General features: G+C 51.7%; 2 protein-coding genes and 1 non-coding gene across 10 annotated transcripts in view, besides 2 other annotated features; 2 read left to right on the top strand and 1 right to left on the bottom strand.

Annotated features, from left to right (window-relative positions):
* Window positions 1–16710, bottom strand: part of RAP1GAP2 (RAP1 GTPase activating protein 2) — a 282097-nt gene extending 265387 nt beyond the window's left edge. For 3 of the 4 annotated variants that reach the window (NM_001411048.1, NM_001438816.1, XM_024450659.2), the window contains exons 1-2: window positions 16588–16710; window positions 1910–2026 (exon numbers count right to left, since the gene is read on the bottom strand). In NM_001411048.1, coding sequence (NP_001397977.1) covers window positions 1910–2026; window positions 16588–16637 — 167 coding nt within the window. In that variant the 5' untranslated portion in view covers window positions 16638–16710. Of the gene's footprint in view, window positions 1–1909; window positions 2027–6128; window positions 6331–16587 lie in introns of all 4 variants that reach the window. The other variant, XM_047435668.1, reaches the window with a different exon arrangement.
* Window positions 17058–17267: a silencer, noted in NCBI's record as "fragment chr17:2658382-2658591 (GRCh37/hg19 assembly coordinates)". NCBI's record gives its function as "represses an EF-1alpha promoter that drives an FKBP-Casp9 reporter gene in an ReSE screen in both phorbol 12-myristate 13-acetate-treated (for megakaryocytic differentiation) and untreated K562 erythroleukemia cells {active_cell/tissue: K562 | K562(+PMA)}" and the evidence as "EXISTENCE:reporter gene assay evidence [ECO:0000049][PMID:32094911]".
* Window positions 22324–22513: a silencer, noted in NCBI's record as "silent region_8011". NCBI's record gives its function as "represses an Ori minimal core promoter by ATAC-STARR-seq in GM12878 lymphoblastoid cells {active_cell/tissue: GM12878}" and the evidence as "EXISTENCE:reporter gene assay evidence [ECO:0000049][PMID:35858748]".
* Window positions 22703–26787, top strand: part of CCDC92B (coiled-coil domain containing 92B) — a 28852-nt gene continuing 24767 nt past the window's right edge. For all 5 annotated transcript variants that reach the window (XR_002957942.2, XR_002957941.2, XR_002957940.2 and 2 more), the window contains exon 1: window positions 22703–22944. The gene's annotated coding sequence lies outside the window, so the exon portion shown is untranslated. The remainder of the gene's footprint in view (window positions 22945–26787) is intronic.
* Window positions 24173–24277, top strand: MIR1253 (microRNA 1253). The gene has a single exon (NR_031654.1). It is a non-coding gene; the product is annotated as a microRNA 1253 (primary transcript).

Here is a 26787-nt window from a genome sequence, read left to right as displayed (position 1 = left end):
CATCCCATTGCAGTCCAGCCCGTGTGACAGAGTGAGACCCTGTCTCAAAATACATTAAATAAAATAATTAGAAACTATTGTGTTCACACCTGTAATCCCAGTACTTTGGTAGGCACAGGTGGGTGGATCATCTGAGGTCAGGAGTTCGAGACCAGCCTGACCATGGTGAAACCCCGTCTCTACTAAAAATATAAAAAATTAGCTGGGCGTGGTGCCACATGCCTGTAATCCCAGCTACTCAAGAGGCTGAGGGAGGAGAATCGCTTGAACCCTGGAGGCGGAGGCTGCAGTGAGCCAAGATCATGCCATTGCACTCCAGGCTGGGTAACAAGAGTGAAACTCCATCTCAAAAAAAAGAGAACTATTGTGGCTGAGTCAGGAGGATCACTTGAGCCCAGGGGTTCAAGGCCAGCATGGGCAACACAGTGAGACTCTATTTCTTAAAAAAAAATTAATATTCTATCACAAAAATGAATTCAGTCACTTATCTCAATGACTATATGGCAGACTCTTCTTCAAGTCCTCTGGCATGTAACCTTCCCATGTATGAAATCTGAAGTTATGTGGCCGGGCACAGTGGCTCACGCTTGTAATCCCAGCACTTTGGGAGGCCAAGGCGGGTGGATCACCTGAGATCAGGAATTCAAGACCAGCCTGGCCAACATGGTGAAAACCTGACTCTACTAAAAATACAAAAATTAGCCAGGTATGGTGGCGGGCATCTGTAATCCCAGCTACGCGGGAGGCTGAGGCAGGAGAATCGCCTCCAGGAGGCGGAGGTTGCAGTGAGCCAAGATCGTGCCATTACACTCCAGCCTGGACGACAAGAGCAAAACTCTATCTAAAAAAAAAAAACAAAAAAAAAAAACAAAAAAGTGGCTTTGATGGGGAAAGTGGAAAGAAAGTCCCCGGGTCGGGTGTGGCAGAGGCCTTGGGAAGCGCTGTGGCTGCAGAAGGGTTGCCAGGACGCCTCTGTTGTGACTGCCGATGCTGGCCATACGTGTCCAGTGCTGGGGGAAGAGTGGGCAGGGGTTTGGAGCAAGGATCTGGGTCAGAAAAAGCCCTCACCTCCCAGCCCCCTACCCAGACTCAGGATCCCAGCTGGACTCTCTGGCATGGGAAAGGAGGCGGACAAAGAAGGCACGGCTGGCTCCAGGTCAAAGCAAAGTGTGCCCAGCAAATTTACCTGCCACTCTCCCTCCAGAGAGGAAGGAACCAGGGATCTCCAGTCTTTGGTCTTTTGTTTTGTTTTGTTGGGTTTTTTGTTTGTTTTATGTTGTTTGTTGTTTGTTTGTTTGTTTGTTTTTTGAAACAGAGTCTCCCTCTGTTGCCCAGGCTGGAGTGCAGTGGTTCAACTGCGGCTCACTGCAACCTCTGCCTCCGGGGTTCAAGAGATTCTCCTGTCTCAGCTACTCAATCCCGAGTAGCTGGGATTACAGGCATGTGCCACCACGCTCAGCTAATTTTTGTATTTTTAGTAGAGACGAGTTTTCACCATGTTGGCCAGGCTGCTCTTGAACTCCTGACCTCAAGTGATCCACCCACCTCAGCCTCCCAAAGTGCTGGGATTACAGGCATGAGCCACTGAGCCCGACCAATCTCCAGGCTTTGTAAATCTCTGCAGTCATATTTCACTGGAGACTTATAATCTCCCAAGAGAAGTCAGGGAAAGTATGATCCTATCCGTTTTATAGAGGAGAAAGCAGAGGCAGTGAGTTGCCTCAGTGCATTCGAGGTGGGACAAGCATCCAGGCTGATAAATTCTTTCCTAGAAGGCCTCCCCATCACTGAGGGCAAAGTTCCCCATGGTGGATTTGTGGACCAGTGCGGAGCTCACTTCCTAAGTACCAGCTGAGAGGCCTGGGCCGAGGCCAAAGAATGTGAGGGTCAAGGCAGAAGGCCCCTTTACCTGGAGGGAGACTCGAGGTCAGCCCGGCTGAGGATGCGATGCTGCTGCGGGCTGTAGAGCCACTGGAAGGCTGTCAGCGTCCTCTCCTCGATTCGGAACCGCCCTTCCTGCACGTACCTGTGGGCAGGACAGGAGAGAGTGAGGAGGTGGCTGAGCTCTGCAGAGCTCCTTGGGAGAGTCAGCCCTGCTTGCCGGAGAATTGCTGAGGGGTACCTGTTTACAAATATCCCTCCTGCTCATCTGCCAGAAAGCCCTGTTTCCAGAGGGCCATCATTAAGATTCCCTGAAGAGGAGGCAGCTAGAAGGATCAGATTTCAACGCAATAAATGGAAAAGCTTTCCTTTCTTCTTCTTTTTTTTTTTTTTTTTGTTTTGAGACCGAGTCTCTCTCTGTTGCCCAGGCTGGAGTGCAGTGGTGCGATTTTGGCTCACTGCAACCTCCACCTCCCAAGTTCAAGCGATTCTCCTGCCTCAGCCTCCCAGGTAGCTGGGATTACAGGTGCCCACCACCACGCCTCGCTAATTTTTGTATTTTTAGTTGAGACGGGGTTTTACCATGTTGGCCAGGCTGGTCTCAAATTCCTGACCTCAAGTGATCCACCCGCCTTGGCCTCCCAAAGTCCTGGGATTACAGGTGTGAACCACTGCACCTGGCAGTAGATGGAAAAGCTTTCTAGAAGTTAGTTGTCTGAAGCTGAAAGAAGTCACTTGGAAGGAGTAAGTTCCCCGTCACTGGAGGTATGTAAGCAGAGGACACACAGGCAATTCAGGCATCAGGCAAGTGTCCATCCTTTAAGCCCCTTTACAGGGCTAAGACATTGGACTTATTTTTTCTTTTTTATTTTATTTTATTTTATTTTATTTATGTTATTTCATTTTATTTTATTTTTTTGAGATGGAGTCTCGCTCTGTCACCCAGGCTGGAGTGCAGTGGCGCGATCTCGGCTCACTGCAAGCTCCGCCTTCCAGGTTCACGCCATTCTCCCGCCTCAGCCTCCCGAGTAGCTGGGACTACAGGCGCCCACCGCCACGCCCGGCTAATTTTTTGTATTTTTAGTACAGACGGGGTTTCACCGTGTTAGCCAGGATGGTCTCGATCTCCTGACCTCGTGATCCGCCCGCCTCGGCCTCCCAAAGTGCTGGGATTACAGGCGTGAGCCACCGCACCCAGACCTTTTTTTTTTTTTTTTTTTTTTTTTTTTTTTTTTTTTTTTAGAGAAATGGTTTCACTTTCTCATCCAGGCTAGAGTGCAGTGGCGCAATTATAGTTCACTGAAGCCTCCAACCTGTGGACTCAAGCAATCCTCTCGCCTCGGTATCTTGAGTAGCTAGGACTGCAGGCACAAGCCACCCCACCCAGCTAATTTTCTTATTAAATTTTTTGTAGAGACAGGATCTTGCTATGTTGCCCAGGCTGGTCTTGAACTCCTGGCCTCAAGCGATCTTCCTGCCTGGGCCTCCCAAAGTGCTGGGTTTACAGGAGTGCACCACTGAGCCTAGCCATGGACTTCTTGATTTCACAGCAGGAGAAGGGCTACTCTGGAGCAGGGGTCAGGAGTCAGCAGTCAAGATTAGGTCTTCTAGAACCTCCAGGGTCTCTCCCAGGCTCCCAGCTGTTCTATGGAAGGATCAGGGAAGCTGGGCCGGGCACAGTGAACATAAAATGAAGGTGATCTCCCTCCTACCTTGGCCAACCCCTCCTGGAAGAACCATGAATCTATTCATTAATTCAACTCTTTTTTTTTTTTTTTTTTGAGACAGAGTTTCGCTCTTGTTGCCCAGCCTAGAGTGCAATGGCTTCATCTCAGCTCACTGCAACCTCTGCATCCCAGGTTCATGTGATTCTCCTCCCTCAGTCTCCTGAGTAGCTGGAATTACAGGCACCCACCACCATGCCCAGCTAATTTTTGTATTTTTAGTAGAGATGGGGTTTCACCATGTTGGCCAGGCTGGTCTGGAACTGCTGACCTCAGGTGATCCGCCCACCTTGGCCTCCCAAAGTTCTGGGATTGCAGGCGTGAGCCACCACGCCCAGCCTAATTCAACATTTATTGAGGGCCTATGATGATAAAGAAAACTGACATAGTCCCTGCCCTCCTGTGGGGAGAGAAACCATACAATAATCACATAAATACATGTATAATTACAAACAGGCACTCTGATACATTATCAGTGGGAATGTCACTTGGTACAACCGCTCTGAAGGACAACCTGACAACATCTGTCTGAATTCCAAATGCATTTCCCTTTTATCCCAATAATCCCCTCTTTGGGGAATTTACCTAGGGATTCCAGCAAGTGGACAATGCTTGCTGTGGGATTGTCTATAATAGCAAAAGACTGAGGGCGACCCATGCACCCTTCAGTAGGGAGCTAAATAAATTATAATAAAGAAATAAAAAGCTATAATAAATTGGCCACGTACGGTGGCTCACGCCTGTAATCCCAGCACTTTGGGAGGCCGAGGCAGATGGATCACGAGGTCAGGAGATTGAAACCATCCTGGCTAATACGGTGAAACCTCGTTTGCTAAAAATACAAAAGAAATTAGCTGGGCGTGGTGGCAGGTACCTGTAATCCCAGCTACTCGGGAGGCTGAGGCAGGAGAATAGCGTGAACCTGGGAGGCGGAGCTTGCAGTGAGCCAAGATCGTGCCACCGCACTCCAGCCTGGGAGAGAGAGTGAGTCCATCTCAAAAAAAAAAAAAAAGCTATAATAAATTATGGTACATCCATATAGTAAAGCCATGTGTGGCCATAAAAGATGTTGTAAATGAGGGTGTTCCCATGTGCTATCCTGCCAAGATCTCCAAGGCACATTGTTCAGAGGAAAAAATCAAGTGCAGGGCCTCATGCGTGATTGACATTAAAAAGGGGGCAGGGAATAAAGTGGGAATTCATACTCGCTTATCTTTACCTGTAGAAACTCTGGAGACACAAAAGCTAATAAAAGTCACCTCCTGGGTTGGGGGAAGAGAGAAGAGGGTGGATGAGGGCATGGGAAAGTGACCTTTTCACAACGTATCTTCTCACACAGGAGAGAGATTACCTATTCCAACCTTTTTTTTTTTTTTTTTTTTTTTTTTTTAACAGAGTCTCACTCTGTTGCCCAGGCTGGAGTGCAGTGGCATGATCTCAACTCACTGCAACCTCTGCCGCCCGGGTTCAAGTGATTCTCCTGCCTCAGCCTCCCAAGCAGCTGGGATTACAGGCATCTGTCACCACACCCGGTTAATTTTTGTGTTTTTAGTGGAAACGGGGTTTCACCACCTTGGCCAGGCTGGTCTCGAACTCCTGACCTCGTGATCCACCCACCTCGGCCTCCCAAAGTGCTGGGATTACAGACGTGAGCCACCACGCCTGGCCACCAATTCCAAATCTTTAACGAGGGAGAAGACTGGAGGGGTGCCTGCCTGTCAGCCTGTATCATTACAAACTGGATAAAGTGCTATGAAAAAAAAAAAACTGTGCAGCTGCCCTGATGTTGCCCAGTGGGGCACAGGGGATTTGCTGGGGGAGGGGACTTCCCATAAGTCCTCCCCGGGGAGAGGCAGTTTGAGCTGAGCTCTAAAGGACAAGATAAGGAGGACCCTGTTAGACAGTTGGGGCTGCTACAATCAAATAGCATAGACTGCATGGCTTAAATGACAGAAATGTATCTCTCAGTTCTGGAGGCTGGGATGTCCTAAGGTTGAGGCGCCAGTGCCTGGTGAGGGCCCTCTTCCTGGCATGCAGACGCCCATTGCATCCTCACATGGCAGGGACACAGAGCATCTCTCTCATGCATCTTCGTATACAGACACTAATCCCATTCATGAGGGCTCCACTTTTTTTTTTTTAGACGGAGTCTTTCTCTGTCACCTGAGCTGGAGTGCAATGGCGTGATCTCGGCTCACAGCAACCTCCACCTCCTGGGTTCAAGCAATTCTCCTGCCTCAGCCTCCCAAGTAGCTGGGACAATTTTTTGTATTTTTAGTAGAGATGGGCTTCTGCCATGTTGGCCAAGCTGGTCTCGAACTCCTGACCTGGTGATTCGCCCACCTGGCCTCCCAAAGTGCTGAGATTACAGGCGTGAGCCAGTGCGTCTGGATGTGGGCTCCACTTTCAAGACCTCTCTCCCTCCCAAAGGCCCCGTCTCCTAAACCCATCACAGTGCGGGGCTAGGATTTCAACCTATGAATTTCCGGGGACACAAACATTCAGTTCATAACAAGGACTCACTGGGAGAAAGGCGCCGTGGTAGAATGGGCCCCAGGGTGCAGAGGACGCACAGTGTCCCGGATCTAAAAGAGGTTGGGTTGCTGCAGAGCACAAGGCTGCCACCGCCCCCATGGCCGCCCAACCACAGCATCTGTCCTCGCCGGCCTCTTTCCACTCTCCTCCACATAATGCAGTGGGTGTGTTGAGAAGATCATCCTGGCTGCTGGGTGGAAAATAATAGGACGGCCAGGTTAGACGCTTTGTTTGTTTGTTTGTTTGGAGACAGGTTCTCACTCTGTCACCCAGGCTGGAGTGCAGTGGTGCAATCTTGGCTCACTGCAACCTCCACCTCCCGGGTTCAAGCAATTCTCGAGCCTCAGCCTCCCGAGTAGCTGGGATTACAGGGGCGCAGCACCATGCCTGGCTCATTTTTTTGTATTTTTAGTAGAGAGGGGGTTTCACCATATTGGCCAGGCTGCTCTTGCTCAAACTCTTTTTTTTTTTTGAGACAGAGTCTCCCTCTGTCGCCCAGTCTGGGGTGCAGTGGCGCGATCTCAGCTCACTGCAAGCTCTGCCTTCTGGGTTCACACCATCCTCCTGCCTCAGCCTCCCAAGTAGCTGGGACTACAGGCGCCCACCACCATGCCCGGCTAATTTTTTGTATTATTTTAGTAGAGACGGGGTTTCACCATGTTAGCCAGGATGGTCTCGATCTCCTGACCTCAAATGATCCGCCTGCCTCAGCCTCTCAAAGTGCTGGGATTACAGGCGTGAGCCACCGCGCCCTCTCTGTTTTTTAGAAACAGGGTCTCAATATGTTGCCCAGGCTGGTCTCCTGGGCTCAAGCGATCCTCCTGCCTCAGCTTCCTGAGTAGCTGGGATTACAGGTGTTAGCTACCACTCCCGGCTCAGGTAAGATGGGGCGACTTGAGAATGTGCTAAGGAAGTGGTGTTGGCAGGACCTGGTGCTGGGCTGGACACAGGTGAGAAGACAGGCAGCAACATCATTCCCCCGTTCCTGGTTTGTGCAGGTGGCTGGCTGCGGAGCCATCTGTACTGGATGAGGACAGCTTTGAGAGGAAAGATTATGACTTCCATTTGGGACATGTCCCTCCTCTGTGACCTGCTTCCTGCCCCAAAGTGACTCCCCTCCTGTAAAACCTGGCTCAAAAGTAGGCTCCTCCAGGAGCCCATCCTATTCTGAGCATGAGTAATTAGGCTCCTCCAGGAAGCCCACCCTGATTAATCCCATCCTATTCTGAGCATGAGTGTCCCTGACTTTCCCCATCGTTGGGTTCCTCAGAATTCAGCCCTGGGTGACAGACTCTTGCCATCTCTGTGGGAGAAACTGATAACACTGATGAACTGGTAAACCTGGTTGCCTCCGAGGAGGGAGATTAGTGCCTGGGGAGCCCTGTCACTGCTTTAGACCCTTTTGAATGAGAACCATGTGACTATATTGTATTTTTATTTTTGAGATGGAATCTCACTCTGTTTTTATTTTTATTTTTTTATTTATTTATTTTTGAGACGGAGTCTCGTTCTGTCACCCAGGCTGGAGTGCAGTGGCATGATCTCAGCTCACTGCAACCTCCACCTCCCAGGTTCAAGCAATTCTCCTGCCTCAGCCTCCTGAGTAGCTGGGATTATAGGTGCCTGCCACCACACCCAGCTAATTTTTGTGCTTTTAGTAGAGACGGGGTTTCACCATGTTGGTCAGGCTGGTCTCAAACCCCTGACCTCATGATCCACCCGCCTCGGCTTCCCAAAGTGCTAGGATTACAGGCGTGAGCCACCGCGCCTGGCCTTCTATTTTTATTTTTTGAGACAGAGTCTTGCTGCGTCGCCCAGGCAATGGCGCAATCTAGGCTCACTGCAACCTCCACCTCCCAGGTTCATGCAATTCGCCTGCCTCAGCCTCCCGAGTAGCTGGGATTACAGGCGCCCGCCACCATGCCCGGCTAATTTTTGTATTTTTAGTACAGACAGGGTTACACCATGTTGGCCAGGCTGGTCTCAAACTCCTGACCTCAAATGATCCACCCGCCTCAGCCTCCCAAAATGCTGGGATTACAGGCGTGAGCCACTGCGCACAGCCTATTTTATATTTTTTAAAAGGTAAATACCTTTTTTTTTTAATTTAAGATATCTTCTGATTATGACATCATCGTAGGTTGCTAGGGCCAGAAAAATCCCAAGAAGTCACTCATCTGGTCCAGCAGCTTTATTTTATAGATGAGGACGTGAGACCCAGCAGAGGCACAGGGTCTCTCCCGGGCTGACAGACCACACATCACATCATGCTGTCCTTGATCCCACCGGGCACACACAGGTCCCCAGGCTGAAAGAAGAGCAGGCTCACTCAGGAGCCATCTCCCACTCCAACCCCATCACTCACCCTTTCCACTGGTGGAATACAGCCCCGGCCACCTGCACAGCCTTCACCTCCTGGCCCCACCCAGCCTCCCCTCCCCTCCTCCCGCTCTCCACCCCCATCTCCCAGAGGCTGTGAATGAGGGATTTTCTTTTATTCTTTATTCTTTTTTTGTTTTGAGACAGAGTCTCTCTGTGTCACCCAGGCTGGAGTGCAGTGGTACAATCTCGGCTCATTGCAACCTCCACCTCCCAAGTTCAAGAGATTCTCCTGCCTCAGCCTCCCTAGTAGCTGGGATTACAGGCACCCGCCACCACGCCCAGCTAATTTGTGCATTTTTAGTAGAGACAGGGTTGCACCATGATTGCCAGCCTGGTCTTGAACTCCTGACTTCAGGTGATCCACCTGCCTCGGCCTCCCAAAGCGCTGGGATTCCAGGCATGAGCTGCCGCACCCGGCCTTCCTTAACCTTGATCACAGCATTTCTCTGCCTGCCTGGATGTTAGTTATTTATGTGCCTGTCTGTCTCACTGCTGAAGTACAAAGGCTGTATCTGATCCATCTCTGAAATCCCCACAACATCCTTACACAGCCCTCTGGTCTTCGAAGCCAGCCTGCTGTAAAAATCACAGCAAGAACAGTGATCAACTAACTACATCCTCGGAATGCTCTGACACAGATGATCCCCACTAACGAGTCCAACTTGTTAACGTAGAAAATATGTTTGCTGAATTGGATTGCATTGAATATAAGGAAAAGTAAACTGCCATCTCCAACTATCTTCCCTATCACCTTGCCGTGTATCTGAAATCCCGCTGAACACTACACTGAAGGAGAGTAACTGCTACAGAGGGCCAACCTTTTCAATCACTATCAGCCACTCAAACTTCGGCAAGAAAGCTGGGTGTGGTGGCTCACACCTGTAGTCCCAGTACTTTCAGAGGCTGAGGTAGGAGGATTGCTTGAGTCCGGGAGTTCGAGACCAGCGTGGGCAACGTGGCAAAACCTTATCTCTACAAAAGATAAATAATTAGCCAGGTATGGTGGCGTGCACCTATAGCCCCAGCTACCAAGGAGGCTGAGGCAGGAGGATCACTTGAAGTGACGAGACCCAGTGCTAGGGCCCGAATTTTTGTGTCCCCACAAAATTTCTATGTTGAAATCCTAACCCAGGCTGGGTGCAGTGGCTCACGTAATTCCAGCATAGCACTTTGGGAGGCCAAGGCAAGTGGATCATCTGAGGTAAGGAGTTCGAGACCAGCTTGGCCAGCATGGTGAAATCCCATCTCTACCAAAAAAAAAACAAAAATTAGCCAGGTGTGGTTGTGGGCACCTCTAATCCCAGCTATTCAGGAGGCTGAGGCAGGAGAATCACTTGAACCTGGGAGGTGGAGGTTGCAGTGAGCCGAGATCGTGCCACTGCACTCCAGCCTCGGCGACAGAGTAAGACTCTGTCTCAAAAAAAAAAAAAAAAAAGAAAGAAAAAAGAAACTTTTACAACTCAATAATACAAAGACAACTAACACAATTTAAACATGGGCAAAGGATCTGAATAGTCCTTTCTCTAAAAAGGATATATAAATGGACGGCCAGGCGCAGTGGCTCACGCCTGTAATCCCAGCACTTTGGGAGGCCGAGGCAGGTGGATCACGAGGTCAGGAGATCGAGATCATCCTGGCTAACACGGTGAAACCCCGTCTCTACTAAAAACACAAAAAATTAGCTGGGCGTGGTGGCGGGCGCCTGTAGTCCCAGCTACTCGGGAGGCTGAGATAGAGAATGGCGTGAACCTGGGAGGCGGAGCTTGCAGTAAGCCAAGATTGCACCACTGTGCTCCAGCATGGGCAACAGAGCAAGACTCCGTCTCAAAAAAAAAAAAAAAAAAAAAAAAAAAGATATATAAACGGACAATAACTACATGAAAAGATGCCCGACGTCATCAGCCATCAGGGAAATGCAAATGAAAACCACAATGAGACACCATTTCACACTCACTAGGATGGCTATAAGCAAAGACAGAGATAATAACAAGTGTTGATGGGGATGTGGAAAAACCGGAACCTTCGTACACAGCTGGTGCACATTCCCACACCCAGCACCAATTTATTTATTTTATTGTATTTCTTTTCTCAAACAAATTCTGCGACCTGTACTTCACCATTTTACTCAAGGGACTAGAGCATCCTTGAATTCTGGTATCCCCAAGGGTGCTGAAACCAATCCCCCAAGGATACAAAGGGACAACTGTATATACCCTTGACGATATGATGAGAATGGCACCCCCCTGGCCGGGTGCGGTGCCTCACACCTGTAATCCCAGCACGTTGGGAGGCCGAGGCGGGCAGATCACCTGAGCCTGGGAGTCTGAAACCAGCCTGGCCAACGTGGAGAAACCCCGTCTCTACTAAAAATACAAAATTAGCTGGGAGTGGTGGCACATGCCTGTAATCCCAGCTGTTTGGGAGGCTGAGGCAAGAGAATCGCTTGAACCCGGGGGACGGAGGTTGCGGTGAGCTGAGATCACACCATTGCACTCCAGCCTGGGCAACAAGAGTGAAACTCCGTCTCAAAAAAAAAAAAAAAAGAAAAAAGACCAAAAAGAGAAAATGGCACCCCACCGGCCAGGCTCAGTGGCTCACTCCTGTAATCCCAGCACTTTGGGAGGCCGAGATGGGTGGATCATTTAAGGTCAGGAGTTCAAGACCAGCCTGGCCAACAAGGTGAAACCTCAACCCTACTAAACATACAAAAATTAATTAGGCATGGTGGCACACGCCTGTAATCCCAGCTACTCGGGAGGCTGAGGCAGAAGAATCGCTTGAACCCCGGAGGCGGAGGTTGCAGTGTGCAGAGATCACACCATTGCACTCCAGCCTGGACAACAAGAGTGAAACTGTGTCTCAAAAAAAAAGAAAAAGAAAGAAAAGAAAAGAAAATGGCACCCATCCCTGTGATCCTCCTCCCCAAAACTCATAATACCAGTTTAATCATGAGAAAAACATCAGAGAAATCCCAACTGAGTGAGTGGCAATCTACAAAATATGAGCAGTACTCCTCAAAAACTGTCAAGGTCATCTAAAACAAGGAACGTCTGAGAAGCTTTCACAGCTAAGAGGAGCTCAACGAAGCACAGGAACTAAACGTAATGCGGTATCTTGAATGGGGCCCTAGAACAGGGAAAGGACATTAGGGAAAATTAAAGTTTACCGTAAGTAAAAAAAAAAGTGAAAGTTGGCCAGGCGCGGTGGCTCACGCCTGTAATCCCAGCACTCTGGGAGGCCAAGGTCGATGGATCACCTGAGGTCAGGAGTTCAAGACCAGCCTGGCCAACATGGTGAAACCCTGCCTCTACTAAAAATACAAAAATTAGCCGGGTGTGGTGGCACACACCTGTAATCTCAGCTACTCAGGAGGCTGAGGCAGGAGAATTGTTTGAACCCAGGAGGCAGAGGCTGCAGTGAGCTGAGATTGCGCCACTACACTCCACCCTGGGCGACAGAGCAAGACTCCGTCTCAAAAAAAAGTGAAAGTTAACGAGACCATTTTTCTTTTTTCTTTTCTTTTTTTTTTTTTTTTTTTTTGAGACAGAGTCTCGCTCTGTCCCCCAGGTTGGAGTGCAGTGGCGCGATCTCAACTCACTGCAAGCTCCGCCTCCCAGGTTCACACCATTCTCCTGCCTCAGCCTCCCCAGTAGCTGGGACTACAGGCTCCCGCCACCACGCCTGGCTAATTTTTTGTATTTTTGGTAGAGACGGGGTTTCACCGTGTTAGCCAGGATGGTCCAAGAGACCATTTTTCATCAGTGAGATTGGCCAAGATTTTAAAGTTTGTTAATCGCAGCATGAGCAAAATTGTGAAGAAACTGGCATCTCACACATCACTGGAGATAATATAAAACGGTACAACTTCTTTGGAGGTCAGGTTGGCAATATCTTTTTCAATATGCAAATGTTTTTACCCTGCAATTTCACTTTGAAGAATATATCCAACCATGGGCCAGGCGCGCTGGCTCAAATCTATAATCTCAACACTTCGGGAGGCAAATGCATCACTTGAGCCAGGAGTTTCAGACCAGCCTGGGCAACATGGTGAAAACCTGCTTCTATAAAAAATACAAAGAATTGGCCGGGCGCGGTGGCTCATGCCTGTAATCCCAGCATTTTGGGAGGCCAAAGCGGGCAGATCACCTGAGGTCAGGAGTTTGAGACCAGCCTGGCCAACATGGTGAAACCCCATCTCTACTAAAAATATAAAAATTAGCCGGGTATGGTGGCAGGCGCCTGTAATCCCAGCTACTCCGGGGGCTGAGGCAGGAGAATTGCTTGAACCTGGGAGGCGGAGGTTGCAGTGAGCTGAGGTTGTACCATTGCACTCCAGCCTGGGCGACAAGAGTGAGACTCTGTCTCAAAAAATAAAATACAAAAAATTAGCTGGGCGTGGTGGCACGTGCCTGTAGTCCCAGTTACTCAGGGGGCTGAGGTGGAAGGATCACCTGAGCCTAGCGGGTAGAGGCTACAGTGAGCTGTGATTGAGCCACTGCACTCTATCCTGGGTGACAGAGCAAGATTCTGTCTCAAAAAATAAAAAATAATAAAGTATCCAACCACTATCTTTGCACAAGTATGCACAGATATAGATTCAAGAATGTTCTTTGCCACAATGCTTGTAATATCAAAATGTTCAAAATACTTGAAAGATTGTCAGTAGAGGTTAGGTAAAGGAATGATGACTCAAGGCTGGGCACAGTGGCTCATGCCTGTAGCCCCAGCACTTTGGGAGGCCAAGATGGGAGGATCCCTTGAGCCCAGGAGTTTGAGACCAGCCTGGACAATATAGCAAGACCCCATCTCTGCAAAAAAAAAGATGTAAAAGTTAGCCAGACGTGGTGGCTCTCGATGGTGGACCTCAACTATGGCCCCAGCTACATGGGAAGCTGATGGAGGAGGATCACTCAGGCCTGGGAAGTCGAGGCTGCAGTGAGCTGTGATCGCCACTGCACTCCAGCCTCAGTGGCGTTGTTTGAGCTCCTGAATCTAGCTGTGCCTGAAACATGAAGAGCTCCTAGAGTTTTTTCAGTTCAGTGAGTCTATAAATTCCCTTTTTCTTTGAAGCTAGTTTGAGTCGATTTCTACAATTTACAAGTGAAAGAATCCTGATTCATTAAAAAGGAAAGTAAACTGACTCAGTGGGAAGTCCTAGATCCAGGGGCCACAGCTGGAGCATGGCTGGCCATGGCTGGAGCATGGCATGGATTGAGAGGGTATCTCGGCCTCAGACGTGCACCCTGCCAGGCTGCCTAACCACTCAAGTCACATCTTCAGGACCTTCTCAGAAAGATGAGCTTTTATCTGGGGTGAGGGGTGACCCCAAACCCAATTACGGCACTAAAAATGATTCATGTGGCTGGGTGCAGTGGCTCACACTTGTAATCCCAGCACTTTGGGAGGCTGAGGCAGGCGGATCACAAAGTCAGAGATCAAGACCAGCCTGGCCAACATGGTGAAACCCTCTCTCTACTAAAATAGAAAAAATTAGCCAGGCGTGGTGGTGCGCACCTGTAGTCCCAGGTACTCGGGAGGCTGAGGCAGGGGAATCACTTGAACCCAGGAGGCACAGGTTGCAGTAAGCCAAGATCACACCACTGCACTCCAGCCTGGGCAACAGAGGTAGACTTCATCTTAAAAAAAAAAAAGGGGGGGGGGCGTGGCCAGGCGTGGTGGCTCACGCCTGTAATCCCAGCACTTTGAGAGGCCAAGGCGGGCGGATCATGAGGTCAGGAGATCGACACCATCCGGGCTAACATGGTGAAACCCCGTCTCTACTAAAAATACAAAAAATTAGCCTGGCGTGGTGGCGGGCACCTGTAGTCCCAGCTACTCAGGAGGCTGAGGCAGGAGAATGGTGTGAACCCGGCAGGCGGAGCTTGCAGTGAGCCGAGATCGCGCCACTCCACTCCAGCTTGGGTGACAGTGTGAGACTCCATCTCAAAAAAAAAAAAAATTCAGGCATCATCAGGTCCAGCCCAAGAAACAACCCCAGCAGACAGTGCCAGGGGCAAGAGTTGGGAGGATGAGTCAAAACAGGCATCCAAGCTCTACGCCTTAAATCTCTTCCTATTTCTTCTGTGAAGTGAGGGAACTGATCTGGAAGGTCTGGGGTGCTGGGGTGGTCCTACTTTCTTTATACCTCTGCCTCCCTCTGTTCCAGTTTTAGTCCTTGTGGCAGCAAGGTGGTCATCAGTGGCCCAGATCAACACTCTATGGAGACAGAGCTTCCCTGTCTCAGTGGTTCCAGCCCAGTTCCCATGATGTCATGTCACTGACCTGACCTAGGTCACACACCCATACTTGAGCCAGGCGCTGTGGTCGGGCGATGGAATGCTATGTCATTTTGAGGAAAGGGACACTAACTGCCCACCTCCCCTGAGGTAATTCAAAAGTGGATTACCTCTGCCAGGGGCACGGTGGCTCATGCCTGTAATCCCAGCACTTTGGGAGGCTGAAGTGGGTAGATCGCTCGAGCCCAGGAGTTCGAGACTAGCTATGGACAATATGGTGAAATCCCACCTCTACAAAAAAAATACAAAAATTAGCTGGGCGTGATGGCCCATGCCTGCAGTCCCAGCTACTTGGGAGGCTGAGGTGGGAGGATCACTTGAGCCTGGGAGGTGGAGGCTGCAGTGAGCCGAGATTGCACCACTGCACTCCAGCCTGGGCAACAGAGTGAGACCCTATCTCAAAAAAAAGAATTAAATAAAGGAGATTAATTCTACTTTTATCTGGTTTCTCTATTGGAGCTTCACTTGAAGAGTGATTCCACTGCTAACTAATATACTTGGAAACCCATTGGCACCTCCTGCTCTGACACTGTGGGATTTTCGGACAATGTGAACTTGGATGTGTGGCCACGCTGGGTGGAACCATCCAGGAAATATGCAAAACAGAGGAAAAGTTAAGCTCCTGAGCAAGACCTGGTTCAAACCTTGCCTCTACCATGCGCTTGTTGGGTGACCTTGAATCCTTTTCCCTCTCTGACCCTCGGCTTCCTCATCTTTAGTAAAATGGAGGTGCTAATACCTTCCTCTCAGTGTGTGCCTGAATCCTGACTACTCCAGAGCCACGGGAGGTGCTGGGGAAGCCCACGTTGCTGTTATTGATGACATTATTGTTCATTGTATGCAGGCTACAGAATGTACCTTCAGAGGTGCTCTCTGACCCTGCTGTGTGTGGGATGATTTGGGATGGGGAGGAGTCCCAGGCCGACATTCTCTTTTGAATCTTGGAGTCCTCCGAGGTCCGGGGAGGGCTGTGCAGGCTGCCCTAAGCTCCAAGTGCCGCCAAGCAGAGGTCAGGCCCCTGGCTGAAGCCGTCCTGAACATTGGGACACCTGGAACCCTGGGACGTGGGTTCGGGGGCCCAGATCAGGTGACTCGACAGCGCTGCGTCTGAAACCCTCTGAGCTTGCAGTCCGGTAACCTGACACCGCAGGCTCTGACTTCCCAGCGGGCCAGGACTGCGGAGGGGGAAAGGGCGACTGCCCCGCTACACGGGGACCCCTCCCCTGCCCTGGTCTCCTAGGCCCCCTTCTCTGCGCCCTGTCCCCAGAGTGCACACCCCCAGGGGCTCCTGTGTTTCGGGGCTAAAGCACCCCTTTCCACGCAGGGGTTGGGGGCTGTGGGTGGTGCCTTCTCGGGGCCCAAGTCCAGAGCCCTGCCCCGGGTGGCAGAAGGAACGGAGGGAGGCACAAATGGGAAACCTGAAGGGGGCGAAGGGGAAGGCGGAAGCCCCGTGCGAGCGTGAAAGGTGAAGTGCAGGGAAAGGGCGCCCCCGCGGGAGGGGGACGGGGTTCCCCCAAAGCCTGACGGCTCGCACAGGGTCCCCGTCGCCCATCTCTTTGGAGAGCCGCAGAGACCCGGCGCGGGGACGCGGGGTGGTGGGGACCGGAGGGGGTGGTGGGGACCAGGCAGCCGGCGCCCCTCCGCCCACCCGGGCCCCGCAGCCTCAGCCCGGGACGAAACTTTGGGCCCGCGCCCCGCTGCTTCCCGCGCCGGCCGGGCCTCGGGGTTCGCTCCCGCATTAGGCCCCGCGCCGCCCGGCGCCCACTCACCAGCGCACCAGCTGCCAGCGCTTCTCCCCCGGCGCCCGGCGGCCCGCCATGCCTCGCCCGGCCGCTCCCTGCCCTCCGCGGGCCGCACGGTGGAGGAGGCTCGGCTGCCGCAGGCGGGTGTCCGGGGCGCGCTCGCGGGGAGGGCGCGGGGAGGGCGCGGGGAGGGCGCGGGGAGGGCGCGGCGCTCAGACCCCGCCCCTGGAGGCGGCTGGAGCCGGGTCAGCGCCGGCCCCGCAGAACGGGCGGGACAGCGGCCTCTCCCCGTCCGGGTCTCTCCCCGCCGCGCCGAGGAGCCGGGTTTCTGGGGAGCACTGGGCGGAGTCTGGTTCCCCGAGTCCTACTGACGCGCGGAGAGACCAGGCGGCCCATTGCCTCGTTCTGTGCCTTACTCCCTTAGGAAACCCGTTCTACCCAGGAAGTGATGCCTAAAGAAGTAAACTACTCGGCCGGGCGCGGTGGCTCACGCCTGTAATCCCAGCGCTTTGGGAGGCGGAGGTGGGCGGATCACGAGGTCAAGACGATCGAGACCAACCTGGCCAACATGGTGAAACCCCGTCTCTACTAAAAATAGAAAACTTAGCGGGGCGTGGTGGCGCCTGCCTGTAATCCCAGCTACTCGGGAGGCTGAGGCAGGAGAATCGCTTGAACCGGGGAGGCGGAGGTTGCAGTGAGCAGAGGTCGCGCCATTGCACTCCAGCCTGGGCAACAGGGCAAGACTGTCTCAAAAAAAAAAAAAAAAAAAAAAAAAGAAAGAAAAGAAAAAAACGTGGATAAGTATTGTCATTATATTAAAGTGAGGATAGGTTTTTTTTTTTTAGCATGACATCAGTGGCAGAAGCCATAAAGGAAGAGATTAATGGATTTGGCTAAAATAAAAATGTTTAATATCTGCACATCACAAAAACACAATAAGCAAAATTAAAAGGCTAATGTCAGCCAGGTGTGGTGGTATATGCCTGTAGTCCCAGCTACTTAGGAGTCTGAGGCAGGAGGATCACTTGAGCCAGGAGTTCAAGTCTGTTGAGTGCTATAAACATACCTGGGAATAGCCGCTGCCACTCCAGCCTGGGCAACATAGCAAGACCCGGTCTCTAAATATATATATAAAATATATATATATATATATGTCAAATGTCAAACTGGTTTAAAAAATGTGTGCCCCATGCGTGGTGGCTCATGCCTGTAATCCCAGCACTTTGGGAGGCCGAGGCAGGTGGATCACGAGGTCAGGAGATGGAGACCATCCTGGCCAACATGGTGAAACCCCCTCTCTACTAAAAATACAAAAAATTAGCCGTGCGTGGTGGCGGGCGCCTGTAGTCCCAGCTACTCGGAAGGCTGAGGCAGGAGAATGGCGTGAACCTGGGAGGCAGAGGGCAGAGCTTGCAGCGAGCCGAGATCGCGCCACTGCACTCCAGCCTGGGCGACAGTGCGAGACTCCGTCTCAAGAAAAAAAAAAGAAAAGAAAAGAAAGTGTGCCCCGTGTTCATGGCAGCATTATTCACAATAGCCAACAGGTGGAAGCAACCTAAATGTTCACTGATGGATGAATGGATAAACAAAATGTGGTATATATATATACGGCCGGGCGCGGTGGCTCACGCCTGTAATCCTAGCACTTTGGGAGGCCGAGGCGGGCAGATCACGAGGTCAGGAGATCGAGACCATCCTGGCCAATATGGTAAAACCCCATCTCTACTAAAAAATACAAAAATTAGCCTCCACCTCCTGGATTCAAGCGATTCTCCTGCCTCAGCCTCCCGAGTAGCTGGGATTACAAGCACCCACCACCACACCTGGCTAATTTTTGTATTTTTAGTAGAGACGAGATTTCGTCATGTTGGCCAGGCTGGTCTCAAACTCCTGACCGCAAGTGATCTGCCCACCTTGGCCTCCCAAAGTGCTGGGATTACAGGTGAGAGCCACCGGGCCCAGCCAAATTGTCCATTTTAAATGTGCCATCTGTTCCCTGCCAGGATGCTAACCAATACAGAACTGTTACCCAAACTAAACTGAGAAAGTCAGAATTTCTGACTGTCATGAAGAGATGGAGGAGACTCTAGGCCTTCTCTGCCACCCAGGCCTCATTCCTCTAGCTGGCATTCCAGGCCTTGCACACTTTGGCCCTTACCTTCCCTTTAAGCTATGACCACTGTGGCTGCCACAGCTGGACTCATGTTCTCTCTGGCAGGCGTGAGGATGCTGTGGTTACAAGCTTGTCTCTGGGCCAGGCTGGGCTGGAGTTTGAATCCTGGCTCTGCCATTTCCAAGCTGTGTGATGTTAAATTCAACCTCATTCTCTCCATCTGAAAATGGGAATAAACCTTTCCAATACGATTTATCTGAAGTTTAAATGAGATCCCATTGGTAAAGTGCTCAACTCAAAGTAATCGTGGCTTCGGAAGCAAGAGGTACACTTTTTCTAAACTTTAGTTTTCTTTTACTTTGTTACAAGTTTAATTTTGGAAATGGAGCCAGGGTGTGGCACCGTGGCTAATCCCAGCAAAGCGCTGTCATCTCAGCACTTTGGGAGGCCAAGGCAGGTAGATCACTTGAGCCCAGGAGTTCAAGATCAGCCTGGGCAACAGGGTGAAACCCCATCTCTACAAAAAACTACAAAAATTAGCCAGGCATGGTGGCACACGCCTGGAGCCCAGCTACTTGGGAGGCTGCGGTGGGAGGACCTGAGCTCAGGAGGTGGAGGCTGCAGTGAGCTGTGTTTGCACGACTGCACTCCGTCCTGGACAACAGACTGAGACCCTGTCTCAAAAATAAAAAGAAAAGAAAAGAGAGCTGGGCGCAGTGGCTCACTCCTGTAATCCTAGTGCTTTGGGAGGCTGAGGCTGGAGGATCACTTGAGCCCAGGAGTTCGAGGCTTTGGTCAGCTATGATTGCACCACTGCACTCCAGCCTGAGCAGCAGAGCCAGGGCCTGTTTCTAAAAAAAAAAAAGGAAAAGGAAAAAAAAGAAAGTAGAAAAAAGGCCAGGCACAGGGGCTCACACCTGTAATCCCAGCACTTTGGGAGACCGAGGTGGGCAGATCCACTTGAGGTCAGGAGTTCGAGACCAGCCTGGCCAATATGGCAAAACCCTATCTCTACTGAAAACACAAAAATCAGCTGGGCGTGGTGGCATACGTCTATAATCCCAGCTACTCGGAAGGCTGAGGTAGGAGAACTGCTTGAACCCAGGAGGTAGAGGTTTCCGTAAACTGAGATCACTCCACTGCACTCCAGCCCGGGTGACAGAGCTAGACTCCATCTCAGAAAAAAAAAAAAAAAAAGGGCCGGGCTTCGTGGCTCACGCCTGTAATCCCAGCACTTTGGGAGGCCAAGGTGGGCAGATCACTTGAGGTCAGGAGTTCAAAACTAGCCTGGCCAACATGGTGAAACTCCATCTCTACTAGAAATACAAAAATTAGCCGGGCCTGGTGGTGCGTGCCTGTAATCCCAGCTACTTGGGAGGCTGAGGCAGGAGAATCACTTGAACCCAGGGGGCAGAAGTTGCGGTGAGCTGAGATCATGCCACTTCACTCCAGCCTGGGCGAAAGAGTGAGACTCCACCTTAAATAAATAAATAAATAGATAAATAAATAAATAAAAGACAGAGTTCCAGGATTCATCCTGACACAGATCAAAGAGAAGAACATTTGAGACTTGGTGATAACAATTCTATCCATGTGCACTTTATCAGCCCCTTCACTTGTACCTTAAGACAGCCTCACAAGGATCCTGTTGGCAGAGTCAATGTTACTCTTCCCATTTAACTGAGAAGGAACTGGAGCTCTGAGAGGCTGAGTCTTGCCCAGAATTACCCAAGTAGTAAGTAACAGAGCTGGGGCCAGAAGCCAGGTTTTCAGGCTCCTTCATATCACCTGTTTTTGGAGATACAAAACATACCTTTCATCATTCTTACCGATATCTCATGAAATGGAGGGAATATGGATGGTTCATCAGAACTCACACTGCTGCTGGAGATACTGATATGCAGGTCCAAGGAGCACAGTCCAGGAATACTGCCCTCTAGGAAGGACAGCAAGAGACAGGAAGAGGGGTGAGGCTGGCCTTTCTGTTCCTCTCCCAAGGATTTCCTCAGACAGGATGAAGAGGGGCCACCCACAGTGCAGCTAGTAGCTAGAGTTCCTGCAGGGTGGGATTTGAGAGGCCTTTGAACAAAATTCAAACCCCGCAGCCTGTCAAGCCACCTAAGACAGTCATTCCTGCAACTCTCTGTTTGTTTGTTTGTTTGTTTGTTTGTTTTGAGATGGAGTCCCACTCTATCACCCAGGCTGGAGTGCAGTGGTGTGATCTTGGCTGACCGCAACCTCTGCCGCCCAGGTTCAAGCGGTTCTCCTGCTTCAGCCTCCTGAGTAGCTGGGATTACAGGCACCTGCCACCACGCCCGACTAATTTTTGTATTTTTAGTAAAGACAGGGTTTTATCATCTTGGTCAGGCTGGTCTTGAATTCCTAACCTCATGATCCACCCACCTCAGCCTCCGAAAATGCTGGGATTAGAGCCGTGAGCCACTGAGCCTGGCCCCTGCAACTCTTTAGGATTAGAATTTTCCAGGAGCAGCTAAAGCTTTTTAGTTGTTGACACCTGAGTCCAGTTAACCTTTGGAAAGTGGGGAGGACAGGGAGGAAAGGGACCCATAGAGAGGCAGGGTGCCCCTTGAGGCCTCCCCAGGGCCTCTGTGGCAAGTAGGTGCCGGGTCTCCCAGCTCTGAAGGTACAGGGCTTCTCTGAAAATTTGGTCCAGGAGGAAAGGCCAGGGATTATTTGGCTAGCCATGGAGTGGGGAAAGCCAGGCACCAACCCATTAGCCTGAATCCACTCAGCCCAGTCCTCCAGGCAGGGACAGGAATGACTTACCCAGAGCAATCTCTGAGCCACCTGCCACTCACACAATGCTACCTCATCCCTTGTCATGAGCACAGAGGCCTAACAAGCACTCAGCAGTACTGTTCTGAGCACTTTACAGGAAGGAATTCATTTAATCCTCACAACAACCCGAAGATCTTATGAGCTACATAGATCATCATTATCCTCATTTACAGATGAGACCAAGCCCCCGGCAGGAGGAAGATATTAGGGCAGCCACACTTTTGAGGCACACAGTGGGACTCCTGAAGCCTCCCACGTTTGGTGAAAACGGATCAACAGCAATGCCTCGCACGTGTTCTGAACTTTGGAGTTTTTTTGTTTATTTGTTTTTGACATAGAGTCTCGCTCTGTCACACAGGCTGGAGTGCGGTGGCACGATCTTGGCCACTGCAACCTCTGCCTCCCAGGTTCAAGCGATTCTCCTGCCTCAGCCTTCCGAGTAGCTGGGATTAGAGGCGCCCGCCACTCCCGGCTAATTTTTGTAGTTTTAGTAGAGATTGGGATACATACACCATGTTGGCCAGGCTGGTCTCGAACTCCTGACTTCAGGTGATCCGCCCGCCTCGGCCTCCCAAACTGCTGGCCTCACAGGCGTGAGCCACTGCGCCCGGCCTGAACTTTGGAGTTTATCAAGAATCTTCCCTTGGCTCTTGGGACCCTCATAGAACTTAAAGCATAATAATAATAATAAAAGAATTTTAGAAATAGGGCATCTTATCAACTGCGGCCCAGAGAGGTGATGTGACTCACCCAAGGCCACACAGCTAGTGAGAGGTCTGGGGCAGGTTTGCTGCTGCCTAGACACGGGACGGATTCCCAGCCCACTGGTCAGATCGCGCTTCGCCCCAAGCCTTGCCTGCGCGGCTGCGGGCGCTGCCTCTCCTTCCTACGCCAGGGCGGGAGGGGCGGAGCGGATCGCGGCCTGGCGGCCTGGGCGCTGTCCGCGGTGCTGATCCTTCGCCGCGCCCCTGCGCGCCAAGGCACCGGCGGGTTCCCCAGTTTGCCCTTCCAGCTACCAGCCAAAGCCAGCTCCGCGAGCCCAGCGGCCCGCTGGGGGCCTCAGGCCCGGTTCCCGGGGCTCTCGGGGCTCCCGGGGTTCCCCCTCCCCCCGACCGCGCGCCGCCGGCCTCCCCTCCCCCCGCCCCGCCCACGGCCCCTCCCCGCCCGTCTCAGGTCCCTCCCCTCCCCCTTTCTCTCTCCCGCCCCCCGCACCCCTCCGGCTCGTTCGCCAGTTCCGGTCACGTTGCTGGGTGTTTACGCCTCGAGCCCGCCCCCGACCCCCCTTCGGCGCCCCCGAGCCCCCCGGAGCCCCGGCCCGACTGCCCCGCAGCCTCCCAGCAGCTGATGGCGCCGCAGCCGGGGCGGGCGCTGCAGATCCCCGGGCGCAGCTAGCGTGGGGGGAAGAGCGCCGCCCCCACCCAGCCCGGCCCGGACCCAGGGCCCCGCCGGCCGGTGACTCCCAGGTCCCGAAGGTGAGGAGGCCGGTCGGTGGGCGTGGGGGGTGTGGGCGCCGGAGCGGCCCCAGGGGGGAGCAGCGCGGCCAAGCTCCAGCTCCCCCGGGAGGGCTGGCGCGGGGCTGGGCACCGCAGCGCGCGGGAGGCGGACAGGACTCGCGGCGGGCTGCTGGCAGAAGTTGTCCTCCACCGCCCAGACCCGGGCCCTGCCTGGCACTGCCGGGCGTCCAGAGCGGCCCGAGGTCGAGCCCCGCCACCTCCCGCCACGCACACCTTTATTTCTGCTGCCTTTGCCCTCCTCTCTGCTACCTCGCTTCCCCGTCCTCCTTAGTCTCCACATCCCCCCCCCAACCCCTGCCTTCCCTGGGAGTCATATTGGAGGCATAATCAGGGCAGAACCTGAAGCCTGAAGGGGGTGGGGGGCTCCAGTTTCCCCATACACCCCATTCCCGTGTGACTGGATCCTCAGCTTTGCTGAGGTGGAGGGTCCTGAGCGCTTCAGTGCAGGGGGCAGCCAGAGTTGAGGGGTTCGGCGGGGAGGGGCTCCGGAGTGGAGAGGACCACAAGGTCCCTGGGGAGTGTGGCTCCACCACTGGCCAAGCGGCCCCACCTTGCAGACAGAGTCCTAGACATTTGTCAAAGGCTGAATCCTTGTTCCAAACTCCAGTCCCCAGGAAAGCCAAGGATGTGGGGTTGAGGGACCAGCATACTTATTTTTTAATATGTGTATTTACTTGCCCTGGTGATTCCCAGTAAGACTCAATCCATTCTCCCTGTTTCAGCAGCATTCATTGTGGGCCTGTTCCTTGCAAGAGATTCCCAGAGACAAAGCCTTGCCCTCAGGAAGCGTATGGCTTAGTACAGAAGCCAGGTGCATTCAGGCACATGCACACACACACACACACACACACACACACACACAAACACGATGAAGACTTATGGCTTTGCACGGAAGCCAGGTGCGTGCAGGCATGCGTGCACACACACACACACACAGAACAAAGAGTGATAATATGGCAGACTGTGGTGCTAGCTGCCACCCAGATTCCAACAAATTGCCTGGGGAACAGAGAGGCGGGAGAGAGTCGTTCCATCTTGGTGGGGGATCAGGGATGGCTTCATGGTAAAAGTCACATCAGAGCAAGGCCCTGAAGGATGGGTCAGGCTTCAAGAGGCAGAGATAGGGTGGATATAGTAAGTGAGGGGATGGCCTGGCTACTGGGCTACTGGAAGAGTTTGTCATCAGAGCAGCAAGAGATAGAATCCAAAAGAGAAGAAGATCAGCCTGCAGATGTGGACTGCTAAATGCAGGCTGATCTTCTCCCCTTTGGGATTCTCTTATGAGAAGCCATAAACGCCAGGACGAGCACCCAGTGGGGTGCTTCTAGTTGCCAGGCACTGTAGTTGCAGATACTGAGCAAACTACTTTACCTTTCTAAGCCTGTCTCCTCATCGATAAAGTGGATACATTAATAGAATCTTCAACGTGGGGTTGTTGCCAAGATAAATGAGTTAATATATGTAAAATGCTAAGAACAGTACCAATTACTTATTATTATAAGTATTATTATTTATGCATTGATGCCATGTCCAAGAAAGGCTTCTTGAGTTCCTGCTTTCCGACTGCCCCAGGCCTCTGAGTCAGGCCATGAACAGGAATAATGACTAAGAAACATAAACCTCATATTGATTATTTCTTTTGAGATAGAGTTTTGCTCTTATTGCCCAGGTTGGAGTGCAGTGGTGCGATCTCAACTCACTGCAACCTCTGCCTCCCAGGTTGAAACGACTCTCCTGGCTCAGCCTCCCGAGTAGCTGGTACTACAGGTGCGTGCCATCATGCCCTGCTAATTTTTGTATTTTTAGTAGAGATGGGGTTTTGCCATGTTGGCCAGGCTGGTCTCAAACTCCTGACCTCAGGTGATCTGCCCCAGTCGGCCTCCCAAAGTGCTGGGATGACAGGCGTGAGCCACCGCACCTGACCTGATTCATTTATTTGTTCACTTATCGCCATGCTTGTCCTATCTAATATACCCGCGCTGACTATAAGAATAATAAAAATAAGTCTAACATTCTCCTTAAAACAAGAAAACATACATACTTAAAGAACTTTAAGAAAACATGGCTATTGACTGTTAAGAACAACACAAAGATATCTGTTGACTTGATAAATATTTTCAGTCCCAAACAGAAAAGAAACACTAGGAAAAGCTGAAACTGGGACAAGAGAACCCGCCAGTGAGTGAGGGGTGGCAGACAATGCAAACCCCAGGCAAGCAGGTCACAAGAAGTGTGGGGTCTGGTTCCTCTTCCAGCGACCTCCTCTGCTTGAGGGAAAGAAAGAGGTGGCAGAGGCCAGGGGACCTGGAGCAGACAAAAAGGGTGTGGGGAAGGTGAGATTTAGATACCCAAGGAAATATTGGACTGTAAAAGAGGTTTTCAAACTGCTGGTTAGCAGGCCAGGCGCTGTGGCTCACATCTGTAGTCCCAGCCCTTTGGGAGGCTGAGGCGGATGGATCACCTGAGGTCAGGAGTTCAAGACCAGCCTGTCCAACATGGTGAAACCCCGTCTCTACTAAAAATACAAAAAATAGCTGGGTGTGTTGGGTGGGTGCCTGTAATTCCAGCTACTCGGGAGGCTGAGGCAGAAGAATTGCTTGAACCCAGGAGGCGGAGGTTGCAGTGAGCCAAGATCGAGCCACTGCACTCCAGCCTGGGCGACAGAGGAGACTCCGTCTCAAAAAAACAAACAGCTGAAGCAGGGAGAGAACTGTAGTTTCCCACTTGCCAAGTCAGTTGTAACTGGGTAGGGAAGTGGGTACCCAGAATCTCCAGAAACAAGCAGGAAGAGAGGTCATTTTCAGGGATCAGGAGCCCGGACCTCAGAGAGTCCCAACTGTGCCAGGGTCAGAAGGTTCCTGAGTCTGACACTCTACCCGTGTTTGGGGACCTGAGCACAGAAGCCTTCTCCACCAACTTCCCCAAAGGGAAAAGTATTTGTAACTTTCAGACACATCAGAGACATGTTAAAAGTACTTGGAATTAATCCTATAAATTGTGAACCTTGTGTTAGGGTCTTTTTAATATTTTTGGTAACAATTTTTTTAAATGAATATTTTTTCATCAAGCTAGAAAATTAACAGGAAAGGCTGGGCGCGGTGGCTCACACCTGTAATCCCAGCACTTTGGGAGTCCGAGGCAAATGGATCACTTGAGGTCAGGAGTTCGAGACCAGCCTGGCCAACATGGCAAAACCACGTCTCTACTAAAAATACAAAAATTAGCCAGGCGTGGTGGTGGGCACCTATAATCCCAGCTACTTGGGAGGCTGAGGCAGGAGAATCGCTTGAATCGGGGAGGCGAAGGTTGCAGTGAGCCGAGATTGTGCCATTGCACTCCAGCCTGGGCAACAAGAGCAAAACTCCATCTCGGGGGGAAAAAAAAGAAGGAGAAGGAGAAGGACAAGGGGAAGAGAAAATTAACAGGAAAAAGAACTCAGAGAACCAGAAGAAGGAGGGAAGCAGAAACAATGCAGGCTCTGAGGTGCTCAGGACAGTGGACAGAGGAGTGTGACCTCTTCCCCGAGTGTGTTCACTCAGGAGGCTGGACATCTAGTGCTGTGTCGGGGGGAAAGATGGAGCTGACAGCTCCAGCCCTTCAGCTACTGTTACTGGCCTGGGTCAAGTCCTCGGGCATGAGCTTCTGAAGGCCAGATGTTCCAGGACTGCATTTCTGATGGGAAAATCGGACGTTTTCCTGGCTTAGGCCTTCTGAAGTAGTGCCTGCAACTCCCCAGCCAGACAGAGAGATTTTTGTTGTCACTAGTTCCCTTCCCCACTCTATCTCCCACCCTCCCCCAAA

Source organism: Homo sapiens, chromosome 17, assembly GCF_000001405.40.
Source record: "Homo sapiens chromosome 17, GRCh38.p14 Primary Assembly".
Lineage (NCBI taxonomy): Eukaryota > Metazoa > Chordata > Mammalia > Primates > Hominidae > Homo > Homo sapiens.
Note: the sequence above shows the minus strand (reverse complement) of the source record. Positions and strands in the feature narration are given on the sequence as shown.